The 25,579-nt window shown below is 51.0% G+C and overlaps 1 protein-coding gene across 3 annotated transcripts in view, besides 1 other annotated feature; it reads left to right on the top strand.

The window, feature by feature from the left end:
* Nucleotides 1–18,231, top strand: part of ASMT (acetylserotonin O-methyltransferase) — a 28,023-nt gene extending 9,792 nt beyond the window's left edge. Inside the window, exons 4-9 of one of the 3 annotated variants that reach the window (NM_001171038.2) lie at nt 2,853–2,921; nt 4,971–5,089; nt 7,854–7,937; nt 8,300–8,440; nt 11,588–11,710; nt 17,953–18,231. In NM_001171038.2, the coding sequence (NP_001164509.1) occupies nt 2,853–2,921; nt 4,971–5,089; nt 7,854–7,937; nt 8,300–8,440; nt 11,588–11,710; nt 17,953–18,164 (748 nt within the window). In that variant the 3' untranslated portion in view covers nt 18,165–18,231. The remainder of the gene's footprint in view (nt 1–2,852; nt 2,922–4,970; nt 5,090–7,853; nt 7,938–8,299; nt 8,441–11,587; nt 11,711–17,952) is intronic. The other 2 variants (NM_001416525.1, NM_001171039.1) reach the window with 2 other exon arrangements.
* Nucleotides 24,700–25,219: an enhancer, noted in NCBI's record as "OCT4-NANOG-H3K27ac hESC enhancer chrY:1718443-1718962 (GRCh37/hg19 assembly coordinates)". NCBI's record gives its function as "activates a minimal SCP1, AML or CMV promoter by ChIP-STARR-seq in primed H9 embryonic stem cells {active_cell/tissue: H9 hESC(primed)}" and the evidence as "EXISTENCE:reporter gene assay evidence [ECO:0000049][PMID:30033119]".

The raw sequence follows: 25,579 nt of genomic DNA on the forward strand, positions 1-25,579 counted from the left end.
CAGATGCTGGGAGGTGGGGGCTGCACCCAGGCAGATGCTGGGAGGTGGGGGCTGACCCCAGGCAGATGCTGGGAGGTGGGCGCTGCACCCAGGCAGATGCTGGGAGGTGGGGGCTGACCCCAGGCAGATGCTGGGAGGTGGGGGCTGCATCCAGGCAGTGACCAAGTCTCAGGACTACCGCCAGGGGCTGGTGAAGTGGCAGTGGAGGAGGTGAAAGGGAAGGTTTCTTTTTCTTTGTTTTTTCTTTTCTTTTCTTTCTTTTTTTTTTTTTTGAGATGGAGTCTTGCTCTGTCACCCAGGGTGGAGCGCAGTGGCGCCATCTCGGCTCATTGCAAGCTATGCCTCCCGGGTTCACGCCATTCTCCTGCCTCAGCCTCCCAAGTAGCTGGGACTACAGGAACCCGCCACCACACCCGACTAATTTTTTGTGTTTTTGGTAGAGACGGGGTTTCACCATGTTAGCCAGGATGGTCTCCATCTCCTGACCTCGTGATCTGCCTGCCTACATGGTGGCAGGCACCTGTAGTCCCAGCTACTCAGGAGGCTAAGGTGGGAGAACTGCTTGAACCCAGAAGGCAGAGGCTGCAATGAGCTGATTGTGCCACTGCACTGCAGCCTGGGCAACAGAGCAAAAACTCTGTCTCAGAAAGAAGGAAACAGAAAGAGAGAGAGAGGGGAGAAGGAAGGAAGGAAGGGAGGGAGGGAGGGAGGGAGGGAGGGAAAGAAGGGAAATAATGGAAAGTAAGAGAAAGAAAGAGAAGGAAGGAAAGAAAGAGAGAGAGAGAGAGAAGACCTGGACTCAATAGAAAGGAGTGTCTGGGTGGCCGGACGCAGTAGCCCATGCCGGTAATCCCAGCACTTTGGGAGGCTGAGGCGGGCGGATCACGAGGTCAGGAGATCGAGACCATCCTGGCTAACACGGTGAAACCCCGTCTCTATTAAAAATACAAAAAATTAGCCGGGCGTGGTGGCGGGCGCCTGTAGTCCCAGCTACTCGGAGAGGCTGAGGCAGGAAAATGGTGTGAACCCGGGAGGCGGAGGTTGCAGTGAGCCAAGATCGCACCACTGCACTCCAGCCTGGGCGACAGAGCGAGACTCCATCTCAAAAAAAAAAAAAAAAAAATAGGGGTGTCTGGGTTAACATAGGGGGTTGTGGAGACCAAATTCTTATTATGTAGATGAAATCTCCAGGTAGCAGGCTTCAGAAAGAATAGACTGTTACTGTTTCCTATCTGACTTGGTTCTCTCCTGGATCAGAAAAAAGGAAGGAAAAGGAAGGTGATTCTCTCCAGAACGTAGATTTTCTCCACAACAGGTAGCTTTACAGGAGTATTTCAAGCTATGGTAAAGAGAACATGTTTGGGGCTAAAATATTTTTATTTCCTTTTTTTTTTTTTTTTTTGAGACAGAGTTTTGTTTTGTTGCCCAGGCTGGAGTGCAGTGGTATGATCTCGACTCACTGCAACCTCCGCCTCCTGGGTTTAAGTGATTCACCTGCCTCAGCCTCCCCAGTAGCTGGGAGTATAGGCATCCACCACACCTGGCTGATTGTTTGTGTTTTAGTAGAGACGGGGTTTCACCCTGTCTTTGAGGCTGGTCTCCAACTCCTGAGCTCAGGCTATCTGCCCCCGTCTTGGCCTCCCAGAGTGTTAGGATTATAGGTGTGAGCCACCACGCCCAGCCTTTGATTTTCTTCTTTATCTGTGATGGGTTGTTATGCCAGAGTCAGGTTGGAAAGTGAGCCACGTAATATAGGGTTAAATAAAACCCATCTCACGAGACTTTATAGTTATAGAGCATAACTCCCTAGGCCCCTTAGATAAGAATTTGGGCAAGGAAGAAAAAGGTCACGTGTAACAATTAAGTCCTCAGGTTTAAACAATTAAGCAACAGCTGGCCAGGCGCGGTGGCTCACGCCTGTAATCCCAGCACTTTGAGAGGCCGAGGCGGGTGGATCACCTGAGGTCACGAGTTCGAGACCAGCCTGACCAACATAGTGAAACCCCATCTCTACTAAAAAATACAAAAATGAGCCAGGCATGGTGGCGGGTGCCTGTCATCCCAGCTACTCGGGAGGTTGAGGCAGGAGAATCGCTTGAACCGAGGAGGTGGAGATTGCAGTGAGCCAAGATCGCGCCATTGCACTCCAGCCTGGGCGACACAGCGAGACTCCGTCTCATAAAATAAAATAAGGCCAGGTGCGGTGGCTCACGCCTGTAATCCCAGCACTTTGGGAGGCCAAGGCGGGCAGATCACCTGAGGTCAGGAGTTCGAGACCAGCCTGACCAACATGATGAAACCCCATCTGTACTAAAAAGTACAAAAATTAGCCAGGCACGGTGGCAGGTGCCTGTAATCCCAGCTACTCGGGAGGCTGAGGTAGGAAAATCGCTTGAACCCGGGAGGCGGAGATTACAGTGAGCCAAGATCGTGCCATTGCACTCCAGCCTGGGCGACACAGCGAGACTCCATCTCCTAAAATAAAATAAGGCCAGGTGTGGTGGCTCACACCTGTAACCCCACCACTTTGGGAGGCCGAGGCGGGTGGATCACCTGAGGTCACGAGTTTGAGACCAGCCTGACCAACATGGTGAAACCTGTCTCCACTAAAAATACAAAAATTAGCTGGGCGTGGTGGCGGGCGCCTATAGTCCCAGCTACTCGGGAGGCTGAGGCAGGAGAATGGCGTGAACCCAGAAGGCAGAGGTTGCAGTGAGCCGAGATCGTGCCATTGCACTCCAGCCTGGGCTACAGAGCTGAAATGAAATGAAACGAAATGAAACGAAATGAAATGAAATGAAATGAAATGAAATGAAATGAAATGAAAATCAGCCTTCTCTCTCTTTTCTTAGAGAAGGAAGGAACCAGTACCTGGAGACGTTTGGCGTTCCCGCTGAAGAGCTTTTTACGGCCATCTACAGGTAACACCCATCACTTTGAAACCAACAACTCAGATAAGATTCTGTTTATTTTTAAAGGACTTAGGAAACCCAATCCATTTACTCAAATGGCACAACCCAGGAGGAAGCTGCCATTTAATTTAAAATAACATCCCCTATCCCCACTACTACCCCAGATTTTGCTCATCTGATGTTTAAATTGATCAAATTCCTGAGGAGGTGCAACGTGACCCTTCCTTCGAAAGGACTACTCACAAACTCAGTGTTTATGTAGAAAATGGAGGCACGCGCCGGGCGCGGTGGCTCACGCCTGTCATCCCAGAACTTTGGGAGGCCGAGGCAGGTGGATCACCTGAGGTCAGGAGTTCGAGACCAGCCTGGCCAACAGGGTGAAACCCCGTCTCTACTAAAAATACAAAAATTAGCCGGGCGTGGTGGCGGACGCCTGTAATCCCAGCTAGTCGGGAGGCTGAGGCAGGAGAACTGCTTGAACCCGGGAGGCGGAGGTTGCGGTGATCTGAGATCGCACCACTGCACTCCAGCCTGGGCAACAAGAGTGAAACTCCATCTCAAAAAAGAAAAGAAAAGAATATAGAGGCCCAGTTTTTGATTTGGTCAGAGGTGAAGGTGAGGCCAGGTGAGACCTCAGCTCTTCACTTTGCTTTGCGATGTGGACACAGCTTTGGCCTTTGCCCGAAGCTCTTACCTAGAATTCCCAGATGGAGGTGAATTGATGGGCCCGTCCAGTGTTCCAGCTGGCTGAGGCATGGAGTAGGGAAGGGTATGAAGGACAAGGGGATGCCTGAGTGGTTCGCCTGCCCCCCAACCTCTCCTCTCCTCCCCTGCTCTCCCCTCCCCTCTCTTCTCCTTCTGTCCTGTTCCCTCTCTTTTCCTCTTCCATCCTCCTCTCTTTCTCTCCTTTTCCTTCTCTTCTCTTCTCTCCTCTCTTTTCCTCTCCATCTTCCCCCTCCTCTCTCCCATCTTCCCTCTCTTGTCTCCTCTCTCTTCTTCCCTCTCTCCTTTCCTCTCGCCTCCCTTCCCCTCCCTTCACCTGCCTCTCTCCTTCTCCTCTCCCGTCTTCTTTCTCTCATCTTCTCTGTTTTCATGCCCCGTATTTCACCTCCTTTTCTCCTCCTCTCTTCTCCTCGGTCTGCTTTCCTTTCCCCCGTTTCTCTCTTTCTTTCTCTCTCTCTTTCTTTCTTTCCTTCTTTCTTTCCTTCTTTCTCCTTCCTTCCTTCGTTCCTTCCTCTTTCCTTCTGCCTGCCTTCCTTCCTTCCCTCCCTCCCTCCTTTCTTTCTTTTTCTTTCTTCCTTCTTCCTTCTTTCCTTTCTTTATATATATATATATGTGTGTATACATGTGTATGTGTATGTGAATATATGTATCTGTTTAGGGGGCACAAGTACCCATGTCTTCCATGCTTACATGTTGCACCTTGCAGCCTAGGCTTTTAGTGTGCCCATCACCTGAATAGTGACCGTGGTACCTAAGAGGCAATTTTTCAGCCCTCGCTACTCTGAGGCAAACCCCTACAGCAGGCTCTGCAGAGAGGACAGGAGGAGAGAGGGAGCTGTGGGGGGGGAGGAGCAGGAAATGCTTCCAACACCAGAGCCCTGTCCGCCTCTGTGTCCACCTATCCTTCTTGGCTCCATCTCACCTGCCTCCCTTCCTAGTTCCTGCCTTTTCTCTAGCCTCTTCCCCAGGATGTGTGGACCTCCCACCCGCTTCCTGGATTTGTCCTCTGGGGCTGAGCTCTGTGGATGGGGGAACGTATTATTGACTTTCCTCTTAGAAAACATCTAAACTCCTCTTCAGATAGAAATCCCTTCCCATCCAGAGAACAATCGTCCGTTCTGAATCAACTCCAGGTTTCCCGGAGCTGGGTACACTTTGCTGGCTGACCTATGGTTCCCCCATCCCGAATGACTTCCTGTTCCATTTCACAAATGCAAGCCTTCCAGGTGCACCTGTGGGGTATAGCTCCGTTCTCAACAGGGGGTTATGTACACCCTTGCTCTGGGCACGTCCCCAGATCCTCACCATCTTGACAAGCGTGGTTTTGCATGCCAGGTCCGAGGGCGAGCGGCTACAGTTCATGCAAGCTCTGCAGGAGGTCTGGAGCGTCAACGGGAGAAGCGTGCTGACCGCCTTTGACCTGTCAGTGTTCCCACTTATGTGTGACCTTGGTGGTAAGTACCCCTCACCACTAATACCTCGGAGGTGTGGCTTCTGTTCTGTATGGGGAATGTGTTATTCATGTCTTTTATTTTCTGCATTCTGATGCTTTGACATGTGCGGCCTTACTGGTCTTAGAGGAATCATTCCTCCCAGCACTGGGCACTTCCTAGAGTCAGCAAACATCTCCTCTGCGAGCACACGTTTCTTTTTCTTTTCTTTTTTTAAGATGGAAGCTTGCTCCATCGCCCAGGCTGCAGTGCAGTGGCATGATCTCGGCTCACTGCAACCTTTGCCTCCTGGGTTCAAGCGATTCTCCTGCCTCAGCCTCCCGAGTAGCTGGGATTACAGGCACCTGCCACCACACCAGGCTAATTTTTTTTTTTTTTTTTTTTTTTGAGATGAAGTGTCGCTCTGTCGCCCAGGCTGGAGTGCAGTGGCACGATCTCGGCTCACCGCAACCTCCGCCTCCTGGGTTCAAGCGATTCTCCTGCCCCAGCCTCCCGAGTAGGTGGGATTATGGGTGCGCACCACTCTGTCAGGCTAATTTTTGTATTTTTTAATAGAGACGGGGTTTTGCCATGTTGGCCAGGCTGGTCTCGAACTCCTGACCTCATGATCCACCCGCCTCGGTCTTGTTTTTAGTTTTTGAGAGAGGGTCCTGTTTGTCACCCAGGCTCGAGTGCAATGGTGTGTTGATAGCTCACTGCAGCCTCAGACTCTCAGGCTCAAGTGGTCCTCCCACCTCAGCCTCCCAAGTAGCTGGGATTACAGATGACTGCCGCCACACCTAGCTCATTTAAAAACTTTTCTGTAGAGCCTGAGTCTCTCTACGTTGCCCTGGCTGGTCTCAGACTCCTGGGCTCATGCAATCCTGCTGCCTCAGCCTCCAAAAGTGCTGGGATTACAGGCGCCCGCCACCACACCCAGGCTGAGCTGAGCTTGTTTTATTTATTTATTTATTTATTTATTTACTTGTATTTATTTATTTATTTTTTTTTTTGAGATGGAGTCTTGCTCTGTCACCCAGGCTGGAATGCAGTGGTGCAATCTCCACTCACTGCAAGCTCTGCCTCCCGGGTTCACGCCATTCTCCTGCCTCAGCCTCCTGAGTAGCTGGGACTACAGGCGCCCGCCACCACGCCCAGCTAATTTTTTGTTTTTTTTTTTAGTAGAGACGGGGTTTCTCCGTGTTAGCCAGGATGGTCTCGATCTCCTGACCTCGTGATCCACCCGCCTCCGCCTCCCAAAGTGCCAGGATTGCAGGCATGAGCCACTGCGCCGAGCTCATTTTCAAACTTTTTTGTAGAGAACGAGTCTCCCTATGTTGCCCTGGCTGGTCTCAGACTCCAGTTTCATGCAGTCCTCCTGCCTCGGCCTCCCAGAGTGAGTGATGGGATTACAGGCATGAGCCACTGCACCCAGGCTGAGCTTGCTTTTTGAATACAAATCCCCAACCCCGAGCTCACCCCTTAAGCACCTCCTCTACCCCATAGGGCTGTCACACTCCAGGCCGTGATCCACCCACCCTATCTCCCTCCTGTGACTCAGTGGATCACTCAGAACAGCTCCTGGCTGGTAGAAGGCCCTTTGCAGAGTGAGGAGCTTCTCCAAGTTTATTACTTTTAGTCACTGTGAGCAGGGATAGATAGAGTTCAGGATCCCCCTGCCTGGGGAGCAGCTTGGGAAGAAAATAATGAACAAGCAGACCGGGCGCGGTGGCTCACTCCTGTAATCCCAGCACTTTGGGAGGCCGAGGCGGGTGGATCTCCTGAGGTCAGGAGTTCGAGATCAGCCTGGTCAACATGGTGAAATCCCGTCTCTACTAAAAATACAAAAAAAGGCTGGGTGCGGTGGCTCATGCCTGTAATCCCAGCACTTTGGGAGGCTGAGGCGGGCGGATCCCAAGGTCAGGAGTTTGAGACCAGCCTGACCAACGGGGTGAAACCCGGTCTCTACTAAAAATACAAAAACTTAGCCAGGCATGACAGTAGGTGCCTGTCATCCCAGGTACTCAGGAGGCTGAGGCAGGAGAATCGCTTGTACCCGGGAAGTGAAGGTTGCAGTGAGCTGAGATCGCGCCACTGCACTCCAGCCTGGTGACAGAGTGAGACTCCATCTCAAAATAAATAAAAAGACTGACTTTCTACAGAAATAATGGACAAGGAGCATGGGGCTGGAAGTCTCTGTGGCCCATGATGGATTTTGTGTGCACGACTTACCGGGGCCTCTGAATGGGGCTTGTTATTACATCCTTCTCTTAGCTGTTGGCCGCCCTTGGCTGGACAGGTGCGCCGGCTTCAAGAACACACAGTTAAGTGCGTGGCCATATGGAAGTTTGGAGCTTGGGTCAGCCCAGCCAGAAAGACCACCTGAACTCAGGGGCCTGTAGACAATCACGTCACCGTCAAGATTAGACATGGTGGATAAAAAAGGATGAGTTCGGCCGGGCGCGGTGGCTCACGCCTGTCATCCCAGCACTTTGGGAGGCCGAGATGGGCGGATCACGAGGTCAGGAGATCGAGACCATCCTGGCTAACACGGAGAAACCCTGTCTCTACTAAAAATACAATAAAAAAATTAGCTGGGCGTGGTGGCGGGCGCCTGTAGTCCCAGCTACTGGGGAGGCTGAGGCAGGAGAATGGCGTGAACCCGGGAGGCAGAGCTTGCAGTGAGCGGAAATCGTGCCACTGCACTCCAGCCTGGGCGACAGAGCCAGACTCTGTCTCAAAAATAAATAAATTAATAAATAAAAGGATGCGTTCATGTCCTTTGCAGGGACATGGATAAAGCTGGAAACCATCATTCTCAGCAAACTATCGCAAGGACAGAAAACCAAACACCGCGTGTTCTCACTCATAGGTGGGAACTGAACAATGAGACCACATGGACACAGGGAGGGGAACGTCACACACTGGGGCCTGTCAGGGCCTGGGGGGCTGGGAGGCTGGGGGAGGGAGAGCACTAGGACAAATACCTAATGTAAATGACGAGTCGATGGGTGCAGCAAACCACCATGGCACATGGATACCTATGTAACAAAACCGCATGTTCTGCACATGTACCCTAGAACTTAAAGTATAATAAAAAGAAAAAAAAGACCAGACATGGCGGAAGGACCCAAGTTCCTGGGTTGGACCCTTCATGAGTCCATGGTGTGTGGAGGGTGAGCGATGTCTCTCAGGTTCATCTCTGAGGGTCAAACGGGCTGTGTCCCCTTCCAGGTGGGGCTGGAGCTCTGGCTAAGGAATGCATGTCTCTGTACCCTGGATGTAAGATCACCGTTTTTGACATCCCAGAAGTGGTGTGGACGGCAAAGCAGCACTTCTCATTCCAGGAGGAAGAACAGATTGACTTCCAGGAAGGTGTGTTTGTGTCCGTGGGGAAGCAGAGATGTGTCTCACGGCTTCTCCAGGGGGACTGGATGTTTCTGGGAAATGAAGAAGATGTGATGTGGTTTTCCTCTCACTCCCGGAAACACCCTCAACTCAACACTGTCTGTTATTCATGATGGATGGAAAGCTGGGTGTAGATATACAGTTTTCTTACAATTATTATTATTATTATTGATACAGAGTCTTGCTTTGTCGCCCAGGCTGGAGTGCAGTGGTGCAGTCTCGGCTCACTGCAACCTCCACCTCCTGGGTTCAAGCAATTCTCCTGCCTCAGCCTCCCAAGTAGCTGGGATTACAGGCATGCGCCACCACATCCAGCTAATTTTTTTTTTTTTTTGAGATGGAGTCTCACTCTCTTGCCCGGGCTGGAGTGTGGTGACAGATCTCGGCTCCCTTCAAGCTCCGCCTCCCGGGTTCACACCATTCTCCTGCCTCAGCCTCCCAAGTAGCTGGGACTACAGGCACCCACCACCACACCTGGCTAATCTTTTATATTTTTAGTAGAGGTGGAGTTTCACTGTGTTAGCCAGGATGGTCTCGATCTCCTGACCGCGTGATCCGCCCACCTTGGCCTCCCAAAGTGCTGGGATTACAGGTGTGAACCATCACACCCGGCCTCTTTTTGTATTTTTAGTAGAGATGGGGTTTCACCGTGTTGACCAGGCTGGTCTCAAACTCCTGACCTCAGGAGATCCACCCGCCTCGGCCTCCCAAAGTGCTGGGATTACAGGCGTGAGCCACCGCACCCAGCCAGTCATATCATTTCTGCAGTGAAGGGTGTGGCCAGGGTCTCCACGACTACCTTCAGGTTCAATAATTCACTAGAAGGACACACCGAGCTCAGAAGAGCCATCATACACATAGTTATATTTACAACAATGAAAGAATACAGATGCATATCAGCGAAGGAGAAAGGAGCATGGGATAGAGTTCGGGAGAAACCACATGTGAGCTTCTTGTTGTCTTCTCCCAGTGGAGCTGTGGACAGCAATCAATTCCCCCAACAACAAGGTTTGACAACACACACCACTCACTGCCAGCCTGGAGAGCCTCCGCAATCCCTGACATCCAAGGATTTTCTTGGAGACTGGTTACATAGACATGGCAGACACCCTGCATGGCTGACTCCAATCTTCACCTCTTCCAGAGTTCCCAAGGTGATCCTATAGTAAATCCCACTGTTAGTACAAACTATCCTGGGTGGCCCAGAGACCCAGCTGAACAAAGATACCCTTGTGAGGTAGGACATTCTTAGAGATTACAGTTGCCAATTAAGTGCCAATCCTCTCTTTAGAATGTGGAGGGTTTGGACAACACAGGCCTGCTGAGTTAACCCCCCCCCTTTTTTTTTCTTGTTTTTTTGAGACGGAGTCTCACTCTGTCACCCAGGCTGGAGTGCAGTGGCGTGATCCAAGCTCACTGCAACCTCTGCCTCCCAGGTTCAAGCAATTTTTTGCCTCAGCCTCCTAAGTAGCTGAGATTTTACAGGTGCCTATCACCATGCCTGGCTAATTTTTTGTATTTTTAGTAGAGACAGGGTTTCACTATCTCGGCCAGGCTGGTTTTGAATTCCTGACCTCGTGATCCACCTGCCTCGGCCTCCCAAAGTGCTGGGGATTACAGGAGTGAGCCACCGCGCCTGGCCTGAGTTAACTCTTTTTTTTTTTTTTTTGAGATGGAGTCTCGCTCTGTCACCCAGGCTGGAGTGCAGTGGTGGGATCTCGGCTCACTGCAAGCTCCACCTCCCGGGTTCACACCATTCTCCTGCCTCAGCCTCCCGAGTAGCTGGGACTACAGGCGCCCACCACCACGCCCAGCTAATTTTTTTTTTTTTTTTGTATTTTTGGTAGAGATGGGGTTTCACCGTGTTAGCCAGGATGGTCTCAATCTCCTGATCTCGTGATCTGCCCCGCTCAGACTCCCAAAGTGCTGGGATTACAGGCGTGAGCCACCGCGCCTGGCCTGAATTAACTCTTCACTGCACAGAGCTCACCAAGATCTCTCCCAAGATTGGCACCTTATCATTTTGCGGGAAAACTATGACAAGACTTGAGCGTTTCACATCGCACACACATAAAGGGTCAGTCTTGCGTATTTACTTTAAATCTGGAGAACAGGTCTTGACTGTAGGTTCAGTTCAGCTCATCAGTTAGGAGCTGCTGACCGAATTCCCAGGGACTCCTGGAATCCACGGCTTTGGGTGATATCAGCAGCAGTGCTTTTGCAGGGGACATCAGAAAGAAAGAAAGAAAGAACATGGGCCGGGCACAGCAGCTCATGCCTGTAATCCCAGCACTTTGGGAGGCCGAGGCGGGCGGATCACCTCAGGTTGGGGGTTCGAGACCAGCCTCAGCAACATGGAGAAATCCCATCTCTACTAAAAATACAAAAATTAGCCGGGCGTGGTGGCGGGTGCCTGTAATCCCAGCTACTCAGGAGGCTGAGGCAGGAGAATCGCTTGAAACCAGGAGGTGGAGGTTGCGGTGAGCTGAGATCAGGCCCTTGCACTCCAGCCTGGGCAACAAGAGCAAAACTCCATCTCAAACAAACAAACAAACAAAAAAACAAAAAAGAAACCATATTATGATTTTTTTTTAAAGGAGGAGGAGAGAAAGAGGCCACACTTATTCAGTATTTTCTTTCTTTTTTTTTTTTTGGAGACAGTCTCGCTGTCGCCCAGGCTGGAGTGCAATGGTGCAATCTCGGCTCACTGCAAGCTCCGCCTCCCGGGTTCATGCCATTCTCCTGCCTCAGCCTCCCGAGTAGCTGGGACCACAGGCACCCGCCATCACGCCCGGCTAATTTTTTTTGTATTTTTAGTAGAGACAGGGTTTCACCGTGTTAGCCAGGATGGTCTTGATCTCCTGACCTCGTGATCTGCCCACCTCCGCCTCCCAAAGTGCTAGGATTACAGGCGTGAGCCACCGCGCCCGACCTCAGTATTTTCTTATCTTTCTCCTAAGCCTTTTTGTTTTCTGAGGCTAGGTCTGCAGGTGACTAGCCTGGAAGACCTGGGAAAGGCGTGACCCATCCAGGTGACCTTTTGTGCCCAGAATAGGTTTAGTCAAATGGGATTGGATTGCAGGCTGACCTCGGTGTGCCTGCCCTGTGTTCCAGGGGATTTCTTCAAAGACCCTCTTCCGGAAGCTGATCTGTACATCCTGGCCAGGGTCCTCCATGACTGGGCAGACGGAAAGTGCTCACACCTGCTGGAGAGGATCTACCACACTTGCAAGCCAGGTAAGTTGTGGGGTTTGCATTTCAGCGTGTGCTTGTGACACGGGGCAGAATTGTACGAGTCACATTTAGAAGGCAGGCACTGAAATCATCCCACAGGTAAGGGTAGACATCCTGCCCAATATGGCTTTCCTTTTAGATAACGACCTGAAATAAATAGGGTCCTAATTTCTATTCTATTGATAAAACCACATAAAGATGGAAAAAGTGAAAGGCCCTCTGAAACTTCAGTGGCCTCACTTTGGTGAAATTCTTTCAGAATTAGGCTAGTATTTGTGTGTGTGATGAGGACAGTGCCCCACTGACTTCTGAGGTCCACCCATCCTGATGGTTCATGAGGATGTGGGCACAGCCTCTGTGTGTGATGGGGACAGTGTCCCAGCTCTCCTGTGAGGTCCATCCATCCTGATGGCACATGAGGATGTGGGCACAGCCTCTGTGTGTGATGGGGACAGTGTCCCAGCTCTCCTGTGAGGTCCATCCATCCTGATGGCACATGAGGATGTGGGCACAGCCTCTGTGTGTGAGATAAGGACTGTGTCCCAGCTCTCCTGTGAGGTCCACCCATCCTGATGCTTCACGAGGACGTGGGCACAGCCTCTGTGTATGATGGGGACAGTGTCCCAGTGTCCTGTGAGGTCCATCCATCCTGATGGCACATGAGGATGTGGACACAGCCTCTGTGTGTGTGATGGGGACAGTGTCCCAGTGTCCTGTGAGATCCATCCCTCCTGATGGTTCATGAGGATGTGGGCACAGCCTCTGTGTATGATGGGGACAGTGTCCCAGTGTCCTGTGAGATCCATCCCTCCTGATGCTTCACGAGGACGTGGGCACAGCCTCTGTGTATGATGGGGACAGTGTCCCAGTGTCCTGTGAGGTCCACCCATCCTGATGGCACATGAGGATGTGGGCACAGCCTCTGTGTGTGAGATAGGGACCATGTCCCAGCTCTCCTGTGAGGTCCATCCATCCTGATGATCCATGAGGATGTGGACACAGCCTCTGTGTGTGTGATGGGGACAGTGTCCCAGTGTCCTGTGAGATCCATCCCTCCTGATGGTTCATGAGGATGTGGGCACAGCCTCTGTGTGTGAGATAGGGACCATGTCCCAGCTCTCCTGTGAGGTCCATCCATCCTGATGATCCATGAGGATGTGGACACAGCCTCTGTGTGTGTGATGGGGACAGTGTCCCAGTGTCCTGTGAGATCCATCCCTCCTGATGGTTCATGAGGATGTGGGCACAGCCTCTGTGTGTGAGATAGGGACCATGTCCCAGCTCTCCTGTGAGGTCCATCCATCCTGATGGCACATGAGGATGTGGGCACAGCCTCTGTGTGTGAGATAGGGACCATGTCCCAGCTCTCCTGTGAGGTCCATCCATCCTGATGATCCATGAGGATGTGGACACAGCCTCTGTGTGTGTGATGGGGACAGTGTCCCAGTGTCCTGTGAGATCCATCCCTCCTGATGGTTCATGAGGATGTGGGCACAGCCTCTGTGTGTGAGATAGGGACCATGTCCCAGCTCTCCTGTGAGGTCCATCCATCCTGATGGCACATGAGGATGTGGGCACAGCCTCTGTGTGTGAGATAGGGACCATGTCCCAGCTCTCCTGTGAGGTCCATCCATCCTGATGATCCATGAGGATGTGGACACAGCCTCTGTGTGTGTGATGGGGACAGTGTCCCAGTGTCCTGTGAGATCCATCCCTCCTGATGGTTCATGAGGATGTGGGCACAGCCTCTGTGTGTGAGATAGGGACCATGTCCCAGCTCTCCTGTGAGGTCCATCCATCCTGATGATCCATGAGGATGTGGACACAGCCTCTGTGTGTGTGATGGGGACAGTGTCCCAGTGTCCTGTGAGATCCATCCCTCCTGATGGTTCATGAGGATGTGGGCACAGCCTCTGTGTGTGAGATAGGGACCATGTCCCAGCTCTCCTGTGAGGTCCATCCATCCTGATGGCACATGAGGATGTGGGCACAGCCTCTGTGTGTGAGATAGGGACCATGTCCCAGCTCTCCTGTGAGGTCCACCCATCCTGATGCTTCACGAGGACGTGGGCACAGCCTCTGTGTATGATGGGGACAGTGTCCCAGTGTCCTGTGAGGTCCATCCATCCTGATGGCACATGAGGATGTGGACACAGCCTCTGTGTGTGTGATGGGGACAGTGTCCCAGTGTCCTGTGAGATCCATCCCTCCTGATGGTTCATGAGGATGTGGGCACAGCCTCTGTGTGTGAGATAGGGACCATGTCCCAGCTCTCCTGTGAGGTCCACCCATCCTGATGATCCATGAGGATGTGGACACAGCCTCTGTGTGTGTGATGGGGACAGTGTCCCAGTGTCCTGTGAGATCCATCCATCCTGATGGCACATGAGGATGTGGGCACAGCCTCTGTGTGTGAGATAGGGACCATGTCCCAGCTCTCCTGTGAGGTCCATCCATCCTGATGATCCATGAGGATGTGGACACAGCCTCTGTGTGTGTGATGGGGACAGTGTCCCAGTGTCCTGTGAGATCCATCCCTCCTGATGGTTCATGAGGATGTGGGCACAGCCTCTGTGTGTGAGATAGGGACCATGTCCCAGCTCTCCTGTGAGGTCCACCCATCCTGATGATCCATGAGGATGTGGACACAGCCTCTGTGTGTGTGATGGGGACAGTGTCCCAGTGTCCTGTGAGATCCATCCATCCTGATGGTTCATGAGGATGTGGGCACAGCCTCTGTGTGTGAGATAGGGACCATGTCCCAGCTCTCCTGTGAGGTCCATCCATCCTGATGGCACATGAGGATGTGGGCACAGCCTCTGTGTGTGAGATAAGGACTGTGTCCCAGCTCTCCTGTGAGGTCCACCCATCCTGATGCTTCACGAGGACGTGGGCACAGCCTCTGTGTATGATGGGGACAGTGTCCCAGTGTCCTGTGAGGTCCATCCATCCTGATGGCACATGAGGATGTGGACACAGCCTCTGTGTGTGTGATGGGGACAGTGTCCCAGTGTCCTGTGAGATCCATCCCTCCTGATGGTTCATGAGGATGTGGGCACAGCCTCTGTGTGTGAGATAGGGACCATGTCCCAGCTCTCCTGTGAGGTCCACCCATCCTGATGATCCATGAGGATGTGGACACAGCCTCTGTGTGTGTGATGGGGACAGTGTCCCAGTGTCCTGTGAGATCCATCCATCCTGATGGCACATGAGGATGTGGGCACAGCCTCTGTGTGTGAGATAGGGACCATGTCCCAGCTCTCCTGTGAGGTCCATCCATCCTGATGATCCATGAGGATGTGGACACAGCCTCTGTGTGTGTGATGGGGACAGTGTCCCAGTGTCCTGTGAGATCCATCCCTCCTGATGGTTCATGAGGATGTGGGCACAGCCTCTGTGTGTGAGATAGGGACCATGTCCCAGCTCTCCTGTGAGGTCCACCCATCCTGATGATCCATGAGGATGTGGACACAGCCTCTGTGTGTGTGATGGGGACAGTGTCCCAGTGTCCTGTGAGATCCATCCATCCTGATGGCACATGAGGATGTGGGCACAGCCTCTGTGTGTGAGATAGGGACCATGTCCCAGCTCTCCTGTGAGGTCCACCCATCCTGATGATCCATGAGGATGTGGACACAGCCTCTGTGTGTGTGATGGGGACAGTGTCCCAGTGTCCTGTGAGGTCCATCCCTCCTGATGGTTCATGAGGATGTGGGCACAGCCTCTGTGTGTGAGATAGGGACCATGTCCCAGCTCTCCTGTGAGGTCCACCCATCCTGATGATCCATGAGGATGTGGACACAGCCTCTGTGTGTGTGATGGGGACAGTGTCCCAGTGTCCTGTGAGATCCATCCCTCCTGATGGTTCATGAGGATGTGGGCACAGCCTCTGTGTGTGAGATAGGGACCATGTCCCAGCTCTCCTGTGAGGTCCACCCATCCTGATGCTTCATGAGGACGTGGGCACAGCCTCTGTGTATGATGGGGACAGTGTCCCAGTGTCCTGTGAGATCCATCCATCCTGATGGCACATGAGGATGTGGGCACAGCCTCTGTGTGTGAGATAGGGACCATGTCCCAGCTCTCCTGTGAGGTCCATCCATCCTGATGATCCATGAGGATGTGGACACAGCCTCTGTGTGTGTGATGGGGACAGTGTCCCAGTGTCCTGTGAGATCCATCCCTCCTGATGGTTCATGAGGATGTGGGCACAGCCTCTGTGTGTGAGATAGGGACCATGTCCCAGCTCTCCTGTGAGGTCCACCCATCCTGATGATCCATGAGGATGTGGACACAGCCTCTGTGTGTGTGATGGGGACAGTGTCCCAGTGTCCTGTGAGATCCATCCATCCTGATGGCACATGAGGATGTGGGCACAGCCTCTGTGTGTGAGATAGGGACCATGTCCCAGCTCTCCTGTGAGGTCCACCCATCCTGATGATCCATGAGGATGTGGACACAGCCTCTGTGTGTGTGATGGGGACAGTGTCCCAGTGTCCTGTGAGGTCCATCCCTCCTGATGGTTCATGAGGATGTGGGCACAGCCTCTGTGTGTGAGATAGGGACCATGTCCCAGCTCTCCTGTGAGGTCCACCCATCCTGATGATCCATGAGGATGTGGACACAGCCTCTGTGTGTGTGATGGGGACAGTGTCCCAGTGTCCTGTGAGATCCATCCCTCCTGATGGTTCATGAGGATGTGGGCACAGCCTCTGTGTGTGAGATAGGGACCATGTCCCAGCTCTCCTGTGAGGTCCACCCATCCTGATGATCCATTAGGATGTGGACACAGCCTCTGTGTGTGTGATAGGGACCATGTCCCAGTGTCCTGTGAGGTCCACCTATCCTGATGGTCCATGAGGATGTGGACACAGCCGCTCTGTGTGTGATGGGGACAGTGTCCCAGCTCTCCTGTGAGGTCCATCCATCCTGATGGTTCATGGGGACGTGAGCACAGCCTCTGTGTGTGTGTTGGGGACAGTGTCCCAGTTCTCCTGTGAGGTCCACCCATCCTGATGGTTCATGAGGATGTGGGCACAGCCTCTGTGTGTGTGATGGGGACAGTGTCCCAGTGTCCTGTGAGGTCCACCCATCCTGGTGGTCCATGAGTACATGGACACAGCCTCTCTGTGTGAGATGGGGACAGTGTCCCAGTTCTCCTGTGAGGTCCACCCATCCTGGTGGTCCATGAGTACATGGACACAGCCTCTCTGTGTGTGATAAGGACAGTGTTCCAGCTCTCCTGTGAGGTCCACCCATCTTGATGGTTCATGAGGACTTGGGCATGGCCTCTATGTGTGTGATGGGGACAGTGTCCCAGTGTCCTGTGAGGTCCACCCATCCTGATGGTCCATGAGGATGTGGGCACAACCTCTTTGTGTGTGATGGGGACAGTGTCCCAGTGTCTGTGAGGTCCACCCATCCGATGGTTCATGAGGACGTGGGCACAGCCTCTGTGTGTAATGGGGATAGCATCCCAGTGTCCTGTGAGGTCCATCCATCCTGATGGCCCATGAGGATGTGGGCACAGCCTCTGTGTGTGTGTGTGTGATGGGGACGGTGTCCCAGTTCTCCTGTGAGGTCCACCCATCCTGATGGTCCATGAGGACATGGGCACAGCCTCTCTGTGTGTGATAAGGACAGTGTTCCAGCTCTCCTGTGAGGTCCACCCATCTTGATGGTTCATGAGGACTTGGGCACAGCCTCTGTGTGTGTGATGGGGACAGTGTCCCAGTGTCCTGTGAGGTCCATACATCCTGATGGTCCATGAGGACATGGGCACAACCTCTGTGTGTATAATGGGGACAGTGTCCCAGTGTCCTGTGAGGTCCACCCATCCTGATGGTTCATGAGGACGTGGGCTCAGCCTCTGTGTGTAATGAGGACAGTGTCCCAGTGTCCTGAGAGGTCCATCGATCCTGATGGCCCATGAGGATGTGGGCACAGCCTCTGTGTGTGTGTGATGGGGACGGTGTCCCAGTTCTCCTGTGAGGTCCATCCATCCTGATGGTTCATGAGGACATGGGCACAGCCTCTATGTGTGTGATGGGGACAGTGTCCCAGCGTCCTGTGAGGTTCACCCATCCTGATGATCGATGAGGACGTGGGCACAGCCTCTGAGTGTGTGATGGGGACGGTGCCCTGACTGTCCTCTGAGGTCTGGCTGTCCTTATGGTTCACTGGGACTTTGGCACAGTCTGTCTGTGTGTTTGTGTGTGATGTGGACTGTGCCCCTCCCTTTCTAGGTGGTGGCATTCTGGTAATTGAAAGCCTCCTGGATGAAGACAGGCGAGGTCCTCTGCTCACGCAGCTCTACTCTCTGAACATGCTTGTGCAGACGGAAGGGCAGGAGAGGACCCCCACCCACTACCACATGCTCCTCTCTTCTGCTGGCTTCAGAGACTTCCAGTTTAAGAAAACAGGAGCCATTTATGATGCCATTTTAGCCAGGAAATAACTGTTTCTTGTGACCTGGAACTAACGTCAAAGCACACAAGACATAATAATAAAGACATGTACCTCCAGTGGCTTCTTGTTCTTGGTGTTCACATGATAAGTGACTGGAGGCTTCTGTGGACAGGGTTGGACTGCTTCTACTTTGTAGATTATTTCCCAGGCTTTACTGAGGACCACGCTGATGGGGGTGTGAGCTCAGCTTTGATATTGACTGTAAGCAAAGTTTTGGTCCTCTTCATGCTGTAAAGTGGGACTCCAGTGTTCACCTTGAGGGGTGTCTGTTAGAAGCTTCACCCTGAACAGAACTTTGGCACCAGTGATGGATGTAGCAACTATAGGTGTCTATGAAATATGAGGTTCTCCTTTCAGGCTGCCTTGCACAGCTCTGTGACTTATTAGTGATGCCATTTCAACCGTGAGAAAGGTGAGGCTTTCTGTCTCTCTCTCTCTGCCTCAGACAGTCCCATCTGTCTCTCCTGTATGGATCTGTACTCAAATCTCTTCATGTAGCCACCATGAGAGTGCGGGCATTTGCCGCCAGATTAGATCACGCCACATCTGTGGATACAGAGAAATCAGCAGATGCTACAGAAGAGGAAAATATTTCCCTCCTACCAATCTCATACCCATTTCTCCCTGGACCTCTTCCGCAATGTCAACAAGGTTTTCTACTTCTTGTTTTCCTCTAGTGTACATTTTAGATTATTTTGGTACTTTCTTTACTCTCAGTCTAAACATTGTTTTTTTCAACTAAAAAGATGAGAAAACAAAACAAAATGGAATAATCGTCAAAGCAAGTTGTTGTGGGTTGAATTCTGTTCCCCAAAAGATATGTCCAGGCTGTGGCCCCTGGAACCTGTGAATGGTATCTTATTTAGAAGTAAGATCTTTGCTGATGAAATCAAGTTCAGATGAGGTCATTAGGATGAGCGCTAAATCCAATATGACTGATGTGCTTATAAGAAAACAAGAGACACAGAAACGCACAGAAGAGAGGGGAGAATGCCACATGAGGACACAGACACAGGTGAGAAGGCCACATGGAGACAGAGGCAGAGACTAGAGTGATGCGGCCACAAGCCCAGGGACACCTGGAGCCCCCAGGAACTGGGAGAGGCAGGAAGAGTCCTCCCCTAGAGCCTCTGGAGGGAATGTAGCTCTGCAACATCTTGATCTCAGAATTCTAGTTTGCAGCACTGGGCAAGTTTATTATTATTATTATTATTATTATTATTATTATTATTATTATTTTGAGATGGAGTCTTGCTCTGTTGCCCAGGCTGGAGTGCAGTGGCATGATCTCGGCTCGCTGCAAGCGCCACCTCCCAGGTTCACGCCATTCTGCCTCAGCCTCCTGAGTAGCTGGGACTACAGGTGCCCGCCACCACACCCAGCTAATTTTTTGTATTTTTAGTAAAGACACGGTTTCACCATGTTAGGTGGTCCTAACAAACTCATCTACAAGAAAGGTAAGGAATGGTGTGCACATTTCAAATTTTAAGTTTGAAAAAGCACAAGAGAATCTGCTTCTTTTTGCAATGTCTAATCTGTTTAAAAGGCATCTTTCACAGAGAGTGTGATTTGGGAATATTTGCAGAGTTGCATGACACCTTTTAAAATTAGATTAAACAGGAAGAAAAGAGACTCAGGGACATCTTAATTCTCTGTTGAGGAGTTCTCATAAACTAAACGGTCTAATTTCAAAATGTTCAAGCTGAAGTTTGGAAATGAACTCTTTCGAAAAACATGCTTATGTCAGTTGCTGGGAGTTGCAGCTGGTGGTCATCCCCGAGAACATGCATTCACCACAAGTCCATGGAGGCCTTATTCATGCCAAGAGTAGTGGAGTCCAGTCCCTCAGAGTGCCCTGTGTGCCCTGCTGCAAATAGGACCTTTTCCTGGGTATTCAGTGATGCACAGGCAACTAATTATAGGGGAACGCTTATTTAATAAGGAATGAAGATTTTATCTTCTTATTTATTTTTCAGAGATGAAGTCTTGCTCTGTTTCCCAGGCTGGAGTACAGTGGTACAGTGATAGCTCACTGCAGCCTCCAACTCATGGGCTCAAGCGATTCTCCTGCCTCAGCCTCCCTAGTAGCTGGGACTACAGGCTCAACTAATCGATTTTTTTTTTTTTTTTTTTTAGAGACAGGATCTTGCTATGTTGCCCAGGCTGTTCTCAAACTCCTGGTCTCAAGTGAGTCTCCTGCCTCAGCCTCCCAAAATGCTGGAATTACTGGCATGAGTCACTGCACCTGGCCTATTTGATCTTTCTAATTCTTGCCCCATCAATGCCCTGTCAAATTTTCTTCACCCAAGTAACAGAACTTTATTAATTACCATAATTATCTGATCGAATGGAGTTCCCAAGCCCCATCAGGTTTTTTTTGTGTTTTTTTTTTTTGAGACAGAATCTCGCTCTGTCACCCAGGCTGGAGTGCAGTGGCATGATCTCGGGTCACTGCAAGCTCCACCTTTGGGTTCATGCCATTCTCCTGCCTCAGCCTCCCAAGTAGCTGGGACTACAGGTGCCCACCACCACGCCTGGCTAATTTTTTTGTATTTTTAGTAGAGACAGGGTTTCATTGTGGTCTCGATCTCCTGACCTCATGATCTGCCCACCTCAGCCTCCCAAAGTGCTGGGATTACAGGCGTGAGCCACTGCACCCAGCCCCAAGCCCCTATCAGCTTTAAAGAAAACTTCAGTTTTTAAAACTAAGATCCTGACTTTCCTGCATGGTGAGTGCTGAGACATTCCTCCCTGATGGCTGCTCCATGGAGGAAGGGCTAGGGTCTGACTTGGGAACTGCCTCCCCTTCTGGGCAGAGAGGAGGACCAGAGCAGGCAGGGTCTTCCATCCCTACTGAAGGGGTTGGAGGTGGGCAATGGTCTCTGTCCAGGCTGACCCTTTTGATGCTGGAGCCTGGCTGGTTTTCCAAGTCCCCATCCATGTGGTAGACATGGCTATGGTGGGCATTGTTCATTGCCATCCTGTCTTCCTTTGTATTCAGAGATCCTCTTAGAGACAGCCAAGGAGTCTCCATTAGAATTTCTGGGGTGGGCATGCCTTGTGCTTGGCTGGGAGCCACCTCATCAGCACCACTGTCCTGCCTCTCCATTCACCATGAGAACCTCATGGGCTCCTCTTCCAAGTTCAGGAGCCAGGGGGTTCTAGAAGGTGCCCATTATACCATCACTCCCCATTGGACCCTCTTTGCCCCAGGTCAAGTAGGCACAGGGAGTTTTCTTCCTAACCAGAAACTTAGCAGAGAAAGACAGCTCCTCTTGTCTTCTTGTAGGCTCCCCTCAATCTTTATGAGTGGTTTTCTGGGATTTCTTTCTCTTGTCTGGGAGGAGACCCCAGCTTCTCTTTCCTGAGGCAGAGCATTCAGACAGATGCTAATTCCTTCCCACCCACCCAAAGTTTTTTGTCACTTATGCCACTGGGCTGGGGTTACTGGGAGTGGGAAGGTGTATATATTTGGGATTTTTTTTCCCTTTTGTCCTTAAATTCCAAGTCCTGGTGAGTTAATTGAGGACATAATGTACCAAAATCTATTTTTTCCTCCTATTTCTTCCTCTCCTTCCTTCCTCCCTTCCTTCCTTCCTTCCCTCTTTCTTTCTCTCTCTCTTTCTTTCTTTCTTTCTTTTTTTTTTTTTTTAACAGAGTCTCGCTGTCTCCCAAGCTGGAGTGCAGTGGTGTGATCTCGGCTCACTGCAAGCTCCGCCTCCCAGGTTCACGCCTTTCTCCTGTCTCAGCCTCCTGAGTAGCTGGGACTACAGGCACCTGCCACCATGCCCGGCTAATTTTTTGCATTTTTAGTAGAGACGGGGTTTCACCATGTTAGCCAGGATGGTCTCAATCTCCTGACCTCGTGATCCACCTGCCTCAGCCTCCCAAAGTGCTGGGAATACAGGCATGAGCCATCACGCCCAGATTCACTCTTTCTTTCTTTCTTTCTTTCTTTTTCTTTCTTTCTTTCTCTTTCTTCTTTCTTTCTTTCTTCTTTCTTCTCTCTTTTGTTCTCTCCTTTCTTTCCTTGTTTCTCTTTCCTCCTTTACCTCTTTCTTCTTTTTCTTCCTTTCTTCCCTTTCATTTCTCTCTTTCTTTCTTTCTTCCTTTCTTTCCTTTCTTTCTTTTCTTCCTTTCTTTCTTTCTTTCCCCTTTCTGATTTTCTATCTATCTAATGCTCTAAGTCGTAAAAAGAAGAAAAAACGTGAGCATTTGTCACTGCTTTTTCTTCTTGCAGACAGTTTCATTGGGTGGTTGTATTTGGCTGGGTAGTGACCTGTAGCTATTAGTGACCTGTAGCTGCTGTAACAAGTTATCACAAATGTGGTAGCTGAAAACAACACAAATTAACTGTCTTGCAGTTATGAAGAACAGAAGGCTGAAGTCAGTTTCCCTAGGCTAACATAAAAGTGTTGGCAGGACTGCTTTATTCTAGAGGCTTTGGAGGTGAATGCATTTTCTTGCCTTGCCAGCTTCCAGAAGCTGCCTGCTTTCCTTGGCTCATGGTCCCTTCCTCCACTTGCAAAACCCACACCCACATCACTCCGGGCTCTGCTTCCATTGTCACCTCTTCTATAACTTTGATCCTCTTGCCTCCCTCTCATAAGGAGCCTTCTGATGACAGATGGCCAACCCAGAGAATCCAGGACAGCCCCCCTCTTAGGATCACTAATTAAACCACAGTTGCCAAGTGTGTTTTTCCAGGTGAGGTCACATATTCACAGGTTCTAGAGACTGGGATGTGGACAGCTTTGGGGGATATTATTCCTCTACCATATGGGGAGTGGGATGTATAAATCTTTGGGGCCATTATTCTGTCTATCACATGGGGATTTGGGTGTTGATAACATTTTTAGGGTCATTATTCTGTCCACCACGTGGGGATTAGGATGTGGACATCTTTGGGGGCCATTACTCCTTCTACCACATGGGATTGCAATGTAGACATCTTTGGGGGCCATTTTCTGTCTCCCACATGGGATTAGGATGTGGACATCTTTGGGGCCATTATTCTGTCTACCACATGGGGATTAGGATGTGGACATCTGGCTGGGCGCAGTGGCTCACGCCTGTAATCCCAGCACTTTGGGAGGCTGAGGCAGGTGGATCACAAGGTCAGGAGATGGAGACCATCCTGGCTAACATGGTGAAACCCCATCTCTACTAAAAATACAAAAAATTGGCCAGGCATGGAGGCGGGCGCCTGTAGCCCCAGCTACTAGGGAGGCTGAGGCAGGAGAATGTCGTGAACCCGGGAGGCAGAGGTTGCAGTGAGCCGAGATCGCGCCACTGCACTCCAGCCTGGTCGACAGAGCGAGAGTCCATCTCAAAATAAATAAATAAGTAAAATAAAAGCGTGTGTATACGTTCATATATACAGACGGTTTCCAGCTTACAGTGGTTGGATTTACAACTTTTCAGCGTTACGATCAGTGTATCAAGATACTAAATGCATTTTTAAGTTAAGGTATGTGGACCCATGATAGACTTGTGGGGAGGTAACCCCACTGTAAGTCAAGGGGCATCCCTCTGTGAGTATATAGATTCTCCACCCCCTAAAAAAATTATAAGCACTGTGACCACCCCTAAAGTGGCTCAGGCTCATGCATGTAGCCCGCCTGGGCTTGAATGCTCTTTGCAAACATACGTTAGATCTGGACAGCCCAGTTCTTCAGGGAAACCCTCTTGGGGCCATGGCAACATGTGGACCATTCCGGAAGAGCGAGAACCGGTGCCTGCCAGCAGGTGGCAGCATGGGGCAGCTGATGTAACCCGGCTTCCTTCGCTCCAAGATTGCACCTGTCAGAGGCAGTCAGGGCTGGGGTGACCATGAATGGGGAAAAAGCAACCCCCCGCCCCAACTTTAGTGCTTTGCCGCTTTTTTTTTTTTTGAGATGGAGTCTCGCACTGTCGCCTGGGCTGGAGTGCAAAGGCAAGATCTCGGCTCACTGCAACCTCCACCTCCTGGGTTCAAGCGATTCTCCTGCCTTGGCCTCCCAAGTAGCTGGGGTTATAGGCACCTGCCACCACGCCCGGCTAATTTTTTTTTTTGTATTTTTAGTAGAGACGGGGTTTCACCATGTTGGCCAGGCTGGTCTCGAACTCCTGACCTCGTGACCCGCCCGCCTCGGCCTCCCAAAGTGTTGGGATTACAGGCGTGAGCCACCGTGCCCAGTCTGCTTTGCTGTTTTAAATGTTGGTTTTCACTAAAAACAATCCCACATCCAAAAGGATTTTTTCATTATTTTCCCCCATCAAGGGCAGATACACTAAAACTTCAGAGGCTGGCCTGGCGCAGTGGCTCATGCCTGTAATCCCAGCACTTTGGGAGGCCGAAGGGGGTGTATCAGTTGAGGTCAGGAGTTCGAGACCATCCTGGCCAACATGGTGAAACCCTATCTCTACTAAAAAGCACAAAATTAGCTGGGCGTGGTGGTGGGCGCCTGTAATTCCAGCTACTCGGGAGACTGAGGCAGGAGAATCGTTTGAACCCGGGAGGTGGAGGTTGCAGTGAGCCGAGATCGCGCCACTGCCCTCCAGCCTGGGCAACAAGAGCAAAACTCGGTCTCAAAAAAAAAAAAAAAAAAAAAATCGGAGGCTTACATTTTCTCTTGTTGAAAAATGAGGAGAGGGATATTTTCCCACTTTCCGCCCCGCCCCCCTCCCCAGCAAACTGGTAGCTGCAAGTTCTTTGTCGGCCTTTTTCAAATGTGTGTAAATCTTTTAAAGAAAGCGGCACCATAGCTCAAGAATGTTTCCTGCAGTGTCTGGGAGGAATCTCTTTGAAATGTGATCCCCAAGGGGGAGGAAAAAAAGCCTCATCCCCCGGGGTCCACAGAGGAGAAGAGCTTAATTTAATCTGTCACCTCACTCCAAATTGCAAAGCCTACACCTCCAGTCAAAATGAGTCCTTGTTTAGTTTCAGAAAACGAAAGGAAAGGGCTGTCTCCACTTTGCTGCGTAAAAGGATGAGATTTCTTTCTTTTTTTCCTTTTCTTTTTTTTTTTGAGACGGAGTTCTGCTCTTGTTACCCAGGCTGGAGTGCAGTGGTGCGATCTTGGCTCACGGATACCTCTCCCTCCCGGGTTCAAGCGATTCTCCTGCCTCAGCCTCCCGAGTAGCTGGGATTGCAGGCACGCACCACCATGCCCGGCTAATTTTTTGTATTTTTAGTGGACACAAAGTTTCTCCATGTTGGTCAGGCTGGTTTCGAACTCCCGACCTCAGGTGATCCACCTGCCTCGGCCTCCCAAAGTGCTGGGATGACAGGCGTGAGCCACCACACCCGGCCCATAAAAGGGTGAGATTTCTTTCTGTGTTTCTGATCCCTTTCACGGATGGCCTGGGGTGTATATCACATTTGAATTGAATGCTTGTTCTGTAGAAAAATGGTTTTCTTTT

The sequence above is a fragment of the Homo sapiens genome, chromosome Y, assembly GCF_000001405.40.
Source record: "Homo sapiens chromosome Y, GRCh38.p14 Primary Assembly".
In the NCBI taxonomy this organism is placed as follows: Eukaryota; Metazoa; Chordata; class Mammalia; order Primates; family Hominidae; genus Homo; species Homo sapiens.